The 12,174-nt window shown below is 45.1% G+C and overlaps 1 long non-coding RNA gene across 1 annotated transcript; it reads left to right on the top strand.

Moving 5' to 3' along the window:
• Positions 1–86: 86 nt before the first annotated feature.
• LINC01053 (long intergenic non-protein coding RNA 1053) lies at positions 87–9,412 on the top strand. The gene is made up of 3 exons (NR_120427.1): positions 87–288; positions 5,279–5,454; positions 8,014–9,412. It is a non-coding gene; the product is annotated as a long intergenic non-protein coding RNA 1053 (long non-coding RNA).
• The last annotated feature ends 2,762 nt before the right edge of the window (positions 9,413–12,174 follow it).

Genomic DNA, 12,174 nt, shown 5'->3' on the forward strand with positions numbered 1-12,174 from the left:
TTACAGCTCAGATTAGGAAGGGATTAACCCCTGAGGTTGGACAGATGGAGAACACTATTAAAATACCCCATGTGGGGTTTCGGAGTGAGTAGCAAAGTAACCACCTGTCCCTGTTTCTTGGGTCAGTCTGCCCTCATTTAGAGTCAGAAGATCACTGTCTTTGATGTCCGAGTGTGGAGAAACTGAATAGCACAGGAAGCAAGCCTGGGGCCCCACCCCTGTCTGGCCCAGAAGCACTGCTCTCCTGAGTCTCTGTCCCTATCTGGAGCCCTGCCCTAGACTGACCTGGTAAGAAATATTCAGCTGAATTACAAGTGATTTTAGGGTTGTTATTGCCCAGGGCCCTTGGGAACAGTCTGGGGACACTTTATGAGACTGTCACAGGCAGAAAGATTTCCATTTCAGACCTCCCTATTCCTTTGTGAACTATTGAAGAAATCGGTACCTCTCCTTTCTTGAACCTCTGCATTTCAGGGGCTACATTGGGGCTGTTTTGTTTTAAGTGTTCTCAGAAGCTGCAGAGGAGTGAAGTGAGATCTGTGTCTTTGTGCCTTTTCGCCCCTGCACTGGGGAGGTTGGGACAGTCCCTCTCTGGGCAGGGAGGCAGAGTGGCTTTGCCTCATGTTCCAGCTTTGAATTCGCAGGCAGGAAGGTAGTATAAGCAGTCCATTCAATAATTAATAAGCCACTTAGGTCTGCTTCAAGTCCTTTATCTTACAGATAAAGGATGTGTTCAGGAACATTAATGGTTGATGAGAAAACATTATGCCAAATAAAATATGTTGGGTAATCTTGAAATTGTCATGATTTAGCTGGGTGAGTACTTCTTTCTTATATATCTAACTTAAGTCAATTCGAGAAAAGCCTATTGAGCACATAGAATGCCTACCTCATCCCCAGCACCACGGAAACATAGAATCTCAAGGTCAGCAGGGTCCTCAATCCCAAAATTGTATAAGCAGCCAGCCAGTCACGATTGGAATGCTTCCAGGGAAAGCACTTCATTGCATCCAGAGGCAGTTTACTCCATGTCCTGACAATCCCACTAGAGTTTTCTTTTTAGAGCTGATTTTCTTTTTAATCTTCACAGCTTCTTCCCTTAGTTCTAGTTATACTCCTGTATTGAGCAGCTTTTATAGGCCAGATGCAGTTTCAGGTGATTTTCATGCATTCAGTCATTTAACCCCACAGTCATCACATGAGGTGGGGTCTCCCATTTTACAGATCAGGCAACTGGCACAAAGAAATTAAGTGATTTGCTCAAGGTCAGTAACTACTGAGTGGCAAAGCACTCTGTCTCCATTAGTATACCTTCTTCTTTTCTTTTCTTTTTTTTTTTTTTTTTTGAGATTGTGTCTCACTCTGTCGCCCCGGCTGGAGTGCAGTGGTGTGATCTCAGCTCACTGTAGCCTCTGCCTCCCAGGTTCAAGTGATTCTTATGCCTCAGCCTCCTGAGTAGCTGGGATTACACATGCATGTCACCACACCTTGCTAATTTTTTAATTTTTAGTAGAGATGGGGTTTCACCATATTGGCCAAGCTGGTCTTGAACTTCTGGCCTCGAGAGATCTGCACTCCTCAGGCTCCCAAAGTGCTGAGATTACAGGTGTGAGCCATTGCACCCAGCCTCATAATATATCTTCTTAATCACTGTTTTGATTGTCTACTACTGAGTAACATACTACTCCAAAACTTAATGGCTTTAAATGGTAATCATTTTATTTGCTCACAATTCTGTGGATCAGATATTTTGTCAGGGCTAAGCTGGGCGAATCTTCTGCTCCACACAGCATCAACTGAGGTCTTTCATGGATTGCAGTATGATGGCCACTAGGACCAGGATGTCCAGGATGGTGTCACTCACACATCTGGCAAGGACAGTTGGGAGGTTCCATGTGGCTCACACCAAAGAACTAGCTTGGGCTTCTTTTCTTGACAGTTGGACCCCAAAAGCAAGCATTTTAATCAGAAAAGGTGAATACTGCATATCTGTACAGACCTAGCCTCAGATGTTATACACATTACATTCACATATTTATTCTGTCAGTCAAAATAAGTCACAGAGCCAGACCAGATTCAAGCAGAGGGTAATTAAGTTCTGCCTCTTTATTGGAGAACAAAAAAGAGCATGTCAGGTGGCATATATTATTGCATCCATGTGCAGAAACTCCAAGAACCAGAAAATTCAACACCATACTGCCCCTCTAGAAAACTAATTCATGCATACACAAAATGACATCTCTCTAGGTATTTGAAACTAGCTATCAAGTATCTCCAAGTCTCCTGCTCTTCAAGCTTCTTCTTTCTTCAAGTGTTTCTTATAAAATGTGGAATGGTACTGTCCCTCTCTTCTGATGTGTTGCAGAACTAAATGTCATACTCCAAGGTATGTCTGGCCTGGTGAGAACAGAAGGCCCATCATCTCCTGTCTTTAAATATGGAGATTGAATCAACAGGAATTCTTGACCAACATATAGAAATTCTGTTACTTGAAACTCTGATGCCCCCCCTACCCTGTAATTGTGCAATTGCTTTGAAAGACCAAAGTTAAATTATATTTTGTGAAATTTGGCCTAGCAGTCTTACTCATTGATTTCATCTTCCACTGCAGTCATGGTCCACTCAGCTTTCAGTCAAACCTGCATTTGACTCATGACTTCCCTCCTCCTTCCACAACTTCTTCAAAGTCATCGATAAAACTATTGGCCTGTTCAGATACAAGAAGGAGCTCTGAGGAACATCATGGAAAACCTCTCTCCATATTAAAATCCAGACACTGATCTGCAACCTGTGCAAACTGATAAGGCAGAGTTGTTCAGATAATTCTGGATCCACCAACTTGTCTGGGCACACATTTTTACTTCTTGACTCAGGAGCCAAAAGAACCATCACCAGCACTGTGCTCACCCATGATCTTGGCAGCAAAAGAAATTAGGTCAGTCTGGATGTGTCTTGGTTTGTTTTAGAGGCAGGGTCTCACTGTGTCACCCAGGCTGAAGTGCAATGGCAAGATCATGGTTCACTGCAGCCTTCAACTCCTGAAGTCAAGTGATCCTCCTGCCTCAGCTTCCCAGGTAGCAGGGACTATAGGCATGCAATACCATGCCTAGCTAATTTTTTAATTTGTGTTTTTGTACAGGCAGAGTCTCGCTATGTTGCCCAGGCTGACCTCAAACTCCTGGGCTCAAGTCATCCTCCTGCCTCAGCCTCCCAAAGTGTTGGGATTACAGAAGTGAGCCACTGTGTCTGGCCAGGATGTTCTTACTGAGGCCCTGCTGACGCTTGGCAATCACAACTTCCCTTCTCAAATAATTTCTTTAACACTCCATGCTGGAATCTCACCCCACCTCATGCCCTTTCTGCCTCAACACTGTTCACCTATTTGCAGCTTTCTGTTCTCCAGAGTCCTCACTGATGCAGGCACCAGATCAGTTGTAACAGCAGGATCTTAGAACCTGATCCTTTTATGAATCTGGGTCAGGAGACATGAAATCAGAGCAGCAAGGGCTGCCCACTCTTTAAGAAACATGGGCTTCTGCTCCCCTTCACTATTTATTTTACAATAAGCAAAAGAAAGCCTCAAGAGTCTACCTTCAAGCTGCTTACAGCATAGCTCAAGGAGGAGGTATACATGCTAATAGTCAGAATATGAAACAAAATAGAATCACTCACTGCCTGGGTGCAGGGAACATGAGACATTATAGGGTTTATAAGACACATTATTTACACTTGGGCAGGTCACAAAAGGCTTCATGGAGGCAGTGGCGTATGGAGTAGATTCTAAATAGCAGGTAGGTGATGGCGAGGATGCAGAGAAATGGCTCTCATACCGCTGCCTGTAGATCTGGAAATTCATAGACATTCTTCAAAATGACCAGGTATTAATTTAAAATGCTTGTGCCTTTCAACCTTGTGATTTCAAAGTTCAAGTAAATAATCTGAACATAAACTTATTCAAAGTGTTAGTTAAATGATATTGCTGTTTAATGGAACACAGAGCAACCACCAAGACTTTGTGAACATCAACCTGATGCCAGCTGAGGGACCAGAGGGGCCCTCCTTGTAGTCTCTCAGATGTCTGATTAATATGCCCTGATTCTCCCTTCCACAATTTATGAAATGCAAATCTTTCCCATTAACTTTGTAGATTACCAAGAGCTTCTTTTCAAGTGCTTTTTTCTGGCTATGCCCTGCCCAGGGCTGCTTTAATTCAGTTCCTATTTCCCTCGAGTATTTCTTGATTTGGGTGATTGGCCATGGTTGTGCGGCTCCTGGATGGGGCTGGGATTGCACAGTCCGGCTCTGTCTCTCACTCACTCTTGCTTCCTTTACTTCCTGGAGCAACTGACAAATGATTCCCCACACTTCTCCTCAGAGCTTTTTTTCTTTAAAAAGGCAAGTTTTCCCCTAAAAGGAATTCTCATATCAGTTGCTAATAATATACATTTCCCCTCGCATTATTGTATGAAGAATTTTTTCATGACATGGGAAAATGCTTATGATAACATTTCTCCCCACTCCCTTCGGAGCAAGGAAAAAGCAACACACAATCTTGAAACTACACCCAGGATAGTGTCAACCATGTAAAACAATATGCATCAAGGGAAATTTAATCAACAGTAGCAGTGGCCAGCTCTGGATTAGGACGCTGGGTGATTTGTATTCTTCTATATGAATCTGCTGTCTTTACCAAGTCTTCAAAGATAACGCATATTTGGAGCCCAGGTGCCTGGGAAAATGGAAATTTTACTGTTTGGAAAAATTTTAAAAAATCAAAAAGCAGGGAGCAGCCAGTGTGGGAAAGACAGCTGCGGTTTCCTTTTCCCTCCAGGCGCAGGCGGCGCACCTGCCAATGGGTGCTTCTGCCCTCCCTACCCTGCGCTGGTAACTACCACCTCAAAGTGGAAGCTGGACAGTTCAAACGTTTGTAAAAGGCAGATCTCGGTGTTCTGACTTCTCCTCGTCCTGTTGGTAGACTGCCTCCGTGACATGCTGGCAGGATTTCTATAAGGGCACAGAAGGCACAGGAGGGTGGGTGAGGACTCTGTGGCCTGCGAGTGCGCACCGGGTGCATGTGCTAGTTTTGGGCCGCCCTACAGATTCCTAACTCACCTTCAGCAACGACCTGCACCGTGAACCACACTTTCCAATACAGATGGTTCCCTTTTTGGCAGACTAGCAAAACTCGGGGGGCTACCCACAGAAAGTGCTCATCTTGCTACCTCTGTTCAACATTTAGCTTCTGACTAATCAATCCGAAACTATCACCCCACTGCAGCCTTTCTGCAGCTGACACAGGTGAATTCATGAAGACCGGGAAGGGCTCCTAATATTTCCATCTGAAGCGGGATCTCTGAAATTTCATAGACATGCGGTCACGCACACATCTTTCCAAGGTCTCAGAAGCACAACAGCTATTCACAGCTTCTCTGAGAACAGACAAGGGGCTTGCAGGTGGGTTGTACTTGAATAAGCTTCTTTCTTCCCTTCCTCCCTCCAACAACATGAAGCACCAGAATAACTCCCTGTTACTAATGTGCGAGAAGTTTCTTGTAGGTGGTCCATGCGACACTATTCTTTCATTGCAATTCCTTCCTTCCTTCCTTCCTTCCTTCCTTCCTTCCTTCCTTCCTTCCTCCCTCCCTCCCTCCCTCCTTTTCTTTCTTTCTTTTTTTTTTTTGGACAGAGTCTTGCTCTGTCGCCCAGGCTGGAGTGCAGTGACACAATCTCGGCTCACTGCAAGCTATGCGTCCTGGGTTCACACCATTCTCCTGCCTCAGCCTCCCGAGTAGCTGGGACTACAGGTGCCCACCATCACACCTGACTAATTTTTTTTTTTTTTGTATTTTGAGTAGAGATGGGGTTTCACCGTGTTAGCCAGGATAGTCTCGATCTCCTGACCTCGTGATCCGCCTGCCTCAGACTCCCAAAGTCCTGGGATTACAGGCGTGAGCCACCGCGCCCGGCCCCCTCTTTTCTTTCTATCTCTCTCTTTCTTTTTTTTCTTTTTTTTTTTTAACTGGGTCTTGCTCTGTTGCCCAGACTGGAGTGCAATGGTGCGATCTCGTCTCACTGCAACCTCCGCCTCCTGAGTTCAAGCGGTTCTCCTGCCTCAGCCTCCCGAGTAGCTGGGATTACAGGCACCTGCCACCACACCCAGTTAATTTTTGTATTTTTAGTAGAGACGGAGTTTTGCCATGTTGGCCATGCTGGTCTCAAACTCTTGACCTCAGGCGGTTGGCCTGCCTCGGCCTCCCAAAGTGCTGGGATTACACGTGTGAGCCATGGCGCCCGGCCTGTATGCTGACAATTTCTTCTCACACCTGTGAAAATGATGTTTGTCATTCTAACTAAACAGAATTTTTCTCATGCCCTTGTGAAGCATTGTATTCACATTGAGTACAAGCCTCTGGTCCTCTCACTTCGTACACAGATGGCTGGAGACAACAGGCACCCCAGTGCATGTTTCCCTGTCTCCCACTCTCTGCTCTCTGGCAGGAACGAAGCCCGAGGAAACCAGGCAAGAATTCTCTGTCCTTAAAGAGACAGGAAAGTTCTCCTGGAAGGAAAGGGCCATGGCTCCATTTAGACCTGCAGCCTGCCCTGCGGGGAAGTGGGGAGAAGGCAGGACCGGAGAGTGTGGAAGGGATTAGTGGCTAGGGTGGAAGAGAGTGTAAGAGAAAGAACTGGCTGTCTAGTAGATTCCAAACCAAAGCAGGACCCAGACTTGCAGGGATCCCCATCTCCTTTCTGATTCTTCCCACATGAACACGCTCCAGCTGGAACCCAGCTACCAGCAGCTTAGGTGGTTTGGGAAATACTTGAGCTTCTCCACCAGCATCCCTGACTTTTATACCCTCTAAATGTATAATGACATTGTGCATTTGGTGTACAAATACAGCATCGAAACAATTCTTCTAGTTATCTTTTCTTATGAGGTTAGGACTCTGAGCCTTTTCTCTACAGAAATTCTAGAAGGTTCTAAACATGGGCTGGTGAGAACTAGCTTACGTTTGAAGAATCTCACCTGGCTGCCATGTGGAGATTGGATCTAGGGGCAAGGTGGCATGGGGAGGCCAATTAGGAAGGTTCCTGGTGGTTTGGGCTAAGGTGGTAGCAACAGAGACAGCAAGAGGTGGTGGTGGTGATGTGTGTTAACAGACCACATTCTCAGACATCATCGTCAGTGACATTAAACATGATGTTAACATTAAACACGATGTTGATAGAGCCACTTATATAGTTGGATGTGACAGCTGTGATAACTACATCTGCATCTAGTCAATCATATTCAAAGTTATTTACTGAGCTCAGGAAAGCAAAATAAGACACAAGCCCTATCCTCAAGTAGCTTACAGAATCTAGGACAGAAATTTTGCCTATGACCAGGTGGAACAAGTGCCATTTGAAAGGCACAATTCAGTGGGATTCAGACCCTCCAAACGAGGACAATGACTCCTGACAGGGGTAACCAGGGGTGCTTCCCTGGTGTGGGTGAGAAAATGCGGAGAGGAGGCCTTCCTAACATAGCAGAGGCCTATGGGGCAGGACAGGAATGGCTGGGGATAGGGAAGCGTGCAGCGTCCTCAAAAGGTGTGAATGCTGATTCGAGCTGGAGGGTACGATTCACAAAGGAGTAGTTTTTGGGAGGGGAAGCTTGAAGATAGATTAAGATTAGTTTAAGGAAGGCTGTAAATGCTAAATTAAAGGGTTTATTCTGTGGGCAGAGGGAAATATTGAAGTTTTGGGGCAGGTGGGAGTTTATCATTGTCTGTAGGCAGGCAGATTACAGGGGGCAAACCGGGACATGAGCATGGAGTTCAGTCGCCCATCTGCTGCTAGACAGGAAGAAAGAGTAAATTCTAGAAACATTGTGGGCATAGAGCCACATTGTAATTACCTGGCTGAACGTGAAGGGTGAACAGAGGAGAGAAAAGAGAACTGAAGGATGCTGAAGTTTAATGACTAGGGGAGTTGGGAGTTGCTGTTCATTTCTCTCCGATTGAATTTCAGGTACATCTGGCACAGGAGGGTCAAGGTGGCCAGCACGCACATGGAGATGCACAGCTAACACTGGGGAAAACCAGACTGGAATAATTCTCTGAGCCTTCTCCTTACAGGCAGCAGTCAAAGCAATGGGAGTGAATGCAATTGATGAGAAAAAATAATGAAGAACCAGAGAGGAGGAAAGGAAAGGGGGTAAAGGAATCATCTTGTAGAAAACTCATAGCTAAGGGTCAAGAAGGAGAAGGTTAAGCAGGGGAGTGATCAAGAGGTTGGTTGATAGCTCTGCTCTGTAGACCTTTAATTTGTTTGGAACTTGGTGCCACCCTGCCATCGTAGCTGGCTTGCTAATGTTCCAAATAACCTCCAGCTTGCTTGTCTCTACTTTTCTGGACATTATGATGCCCAAGTAACAGAATACTGTTGCTGAGAAAGATCTTTTACAAAATCTCTGTTATACAATTAGAGCTTGTTCATTTTAGGTGTTTTTTTTTTTTTAAATCAGACCATAGTTCTGCATTATGAGTCTTTCAGATCTCTGTAAATAGCATTTGTCTTCCTGGCTGAGGATCTCAAAGACATTCAACAATATTTGAATCTTAGGCTGGAGGACATTTTCGTATTCTTCAGTCAGGAATAGCACACTTCCTTTCATGAATAGCAGCTTTTAGGGATTATATCATGAGGTACAAATAAAGAGGCCCTCACCTGGTAAATAATCCATCATGTATGCATTGTGTACAGAACACAATGACTCTTGACCTCAGCCTGGCTTCCTGTGTAGAAGAGTATGGTAGAACCTGAGCAGAGAGAGGGACGGAGAGAAAGAACCCCAGCTCAGATCATACGCATGATTCAGACTGCAAAGCAGGACTGCTTCATGGCATGTGGCATCAGTTGCACCAGGCCCATGCTGGGCTAATGCCCCACTGGTGAGTTTTGAAATTCTTAATACTTTTTGAACAAGAAGCCCTGAATTTTTATTTTCACTGGGCACTGCATATGATCTAGCCAGTCCTGCTGCAGAGCTTAACATATGTCTGAATAATAACAGAAGAGGTCAATGGGGTCTCTCTTGGAAATAATGTTTGAAGTGGCTGTATAGGTCCTGCAAGCTGGGACTGCAGGATGTGGTCCCACGGGCTTCCCCGACGATGGCTAACTGAGGCCAGCCTGGGAGGAGCAAGTGCTCTGCAGACCGTGGCGTTGGGAGCTTTACCTTTGAGGATAGTGTCTGGGCAACAGCTGCTCACCCTGCATGGCCAAAGAATTTAGCTGCAAAAATCTACTTTGGAACTCCCTAATTAAACTAATGAAGTCAGAGCATTTTAATCTGTTCTTGGTGCAGCCCTATGTCTAATCCCAGAATAAATAGATAATTGTGACTTTGTGGCATATGTGTGCTGAGAAAAAATAATGTGTGCTGGTTGTTTTTTGTTTTTCTTTTTCTTTTTCTTTTTTTTTTTTTTTGGTGATATGTAAGCCAGACAACATCTTTATATCCTTTTTTAAAAGCTTGGGAAAGGAACTGATTTTCCTTAGCCAAATGCAATGTTTAAAATGAAGCGAAATTGTAGTGCTTTTACAATCAATCACACTTGTATTTCACCATCCTTTACTGACTGCCATAAACAAGTCATGCCCAATAGTTCCTACACTTGAAAGATCCTATTTGATCCTCAAATTTTTCTTGCTTTAAAGAACACTCATGAATAATAAATGCTACCACACAGATGTCGCCTAAAGAGGCTGAGGTTGGGGAAGTGCAGAGCGAGTCTTGTCTCCCTCCTTTAGCCTCGCATTCTACAAATGAGGAAACTTCACTGGTTAGCCTTCAAACTATATCATGTTATTTCCCTGAGACACATACATCTTCATAATGTTGGAAAAGCCTATAAAATCCAAAAGCTAAAGGGTCATTCTGTTTAATCCTTCCATTTTTCTTCCCATCAAGAGTGTTCTTTGTTAAATATTTCTACCTCCTTTTCAAATAACTGAAATGAAGTCACTCTTACCCCCTTTGGAGTTTATTGATTTATTTACCAAATCTTTTACGTATTAATCCAACTATTAGGCTACTTTTTTTTTTTTTTGACGGAGTCTCGCTCTGTCGCCCAGCCTGGAGACTGCACTCAATCTCTGCTCACTGCAACCTCTGCCCCCCAGGTTCAAGCAATTCTCATGCCTCACCCTCCTGAGTAGCTGGGTTACAGGAATGCACCACCATACCCGGCAGTTTTTTGTGATTTTAGTAGAGATGGGGTTTCACCACGTTGGCCAGGCTGGTCTTGAACTCCTGACCTCAGGTGATCTGCTGGCCTTGGCCTCTCAAAGTGTTGGGATTACAGGCGTGAGCCACCACACCCAGCCCTCAGATTCTTTTATGCAGGAGAAATCTCTGTCCTACAGCCTCTCACTTTACCTCTAGCTCAGCTAAGTACTAAATGCAAGGTTTTCATTTCAGAGCGACCACTGAGAGTGCATGGACAGTCAGCACACTCCACCTCTACTAGCAGAAAGGAGTAACTTCTCAAGTGAATGGTGAACACCTATTTATCATGCCCAAGGCTGGCTGCTCCAGCCAGGGGACACAAAAATCAGCAAAATACAGACCCTACTTAAAGAGGACATATGGACATTTTACAAATTTTCTTGAGAGTAAATTTGTAATTTACAAATTTCCTTGATAAGATGTGACCAACCATCTCAATTTGCTGAAATGGAGGGATTTCCCAAGATATGGGACTTTCAGCTTCAAAATCAAGAAAGTTCTTGGCAAACCAGGAGGAGTTGGTTATTCTACTAATTAAAAAGTAAATAGCATTACTGTGTATGTGGAAAAGAAGATACAGTACACAGGGCCAGGCATGGTGGCTCACACCTGTAATATCGGTGCTTTGGGAGGCTGAGGCAGGAGGGTCACTTGAGTGAGACTCTGTCTGTAAACAAAGAAAGAAAGAAAATACAGCACACACAGCCCTGTTTGTGGGGCCTCTGTCTGAGCAAACACATGGCTTTTGTGGACCTTTCTGTGTGCACCCCACGAACATGGAGGCAGAATGAGTTACATGGTTCAGTAACATGCTCAAGATGCATACCTTGAGCTCTGAGTCCCTAAGACTCAGGTGAATAAGGTGAATAAGGACCAACTCAGGGAAAGGTAGGCTCTGCAGGAGACCTTCCAGAAGCCCTGTGGGTGGGGAGGAGAAGAGAGCTGCCCACATGAGAGACAGTGCTTTGGGAGGACCCCCCGGGAGCACCCTTTGACTCTTCTCCCTTCTCTCTCTTGCTGGACTCCCCACCACCATCCCGTAATACTTGACTCCCAAGCGTCACCCCACAACACTTGACTCCCCCAACAGCAGGCAGCGGGGGCCACGGCTCTGCTTGGACCCCACTCCAGCCTCCCCTGCCACTCTGGGCTCCTCCTGCTGGTGATCCCAGCAGCAATGTCCTCCCTATACGCTGCTGTCTCTTGCCCGGGCCATTGGATAAAGCTCAACAGGACAGACATGCCGGAGAAAGCAAATTTTATCCCAAGACAAACACTACAGTCTCTCTTCAGAGAAGCCTTTGAAGGTGGAAAACATTATGGTGGATGGAACTGGAGGTTTTCATGACCTGTGAAGAAATGCTGGGAAACTGGAAGAATAGAGAGACAAACAGCTCCTCTTTCCTTTTGTCTTTATTTTGATATTTGTTCTTGAACAGTCCCTTGTTTATTATCCTGTGGTGTGTATTCTGTCCCCATGATGATGCCTACCGCAGAGCCAAAATGTGAAATGAGACTCATTGTCCACCGCAGATGTGCTGCTGGAGGCTGGCGGGGCAGTGGTGAGGGAGGGAGACGTGTCAGCTGAGCCCGTGACAAAGAGATGCTCTGTGTGTTGTTTACCACGACCTTCACGAGAGTCCAGATGGGGAGCTGTACACTCAAGGTCTGAAATCCACAACAAGGGAGATTCTAGGCAGAGAAGAGGAGAACGCAGTTGAGCTTGGAGAGATGAACTGGGTTGGAGTTCAAAGAGAGACATAGTACTTCACCCTGGGCAGAGTCATTTGCTGAGCTGAGAACAAGTGCTTGTTCTTGGGCAGTTAACACATAACAATGTCTTCTGGAGACAACAGATGCTTGAATCTTATTACTACTTAAGCTGATTTAAGATTTAT

The sequence above is a fragment of the Homo sapiens genome, chromosome 13 (assembly GCF_000001405.40).
Source record: "Homo sapiens chromosome 13, GRCh38.p14 Primary Assembly".
Classification (NCBI taxonomy): Eukaryota; Metazoa; Chordata; class Mammalia; order Primates; family Hominidae; genus Homo; species Homo sapiens.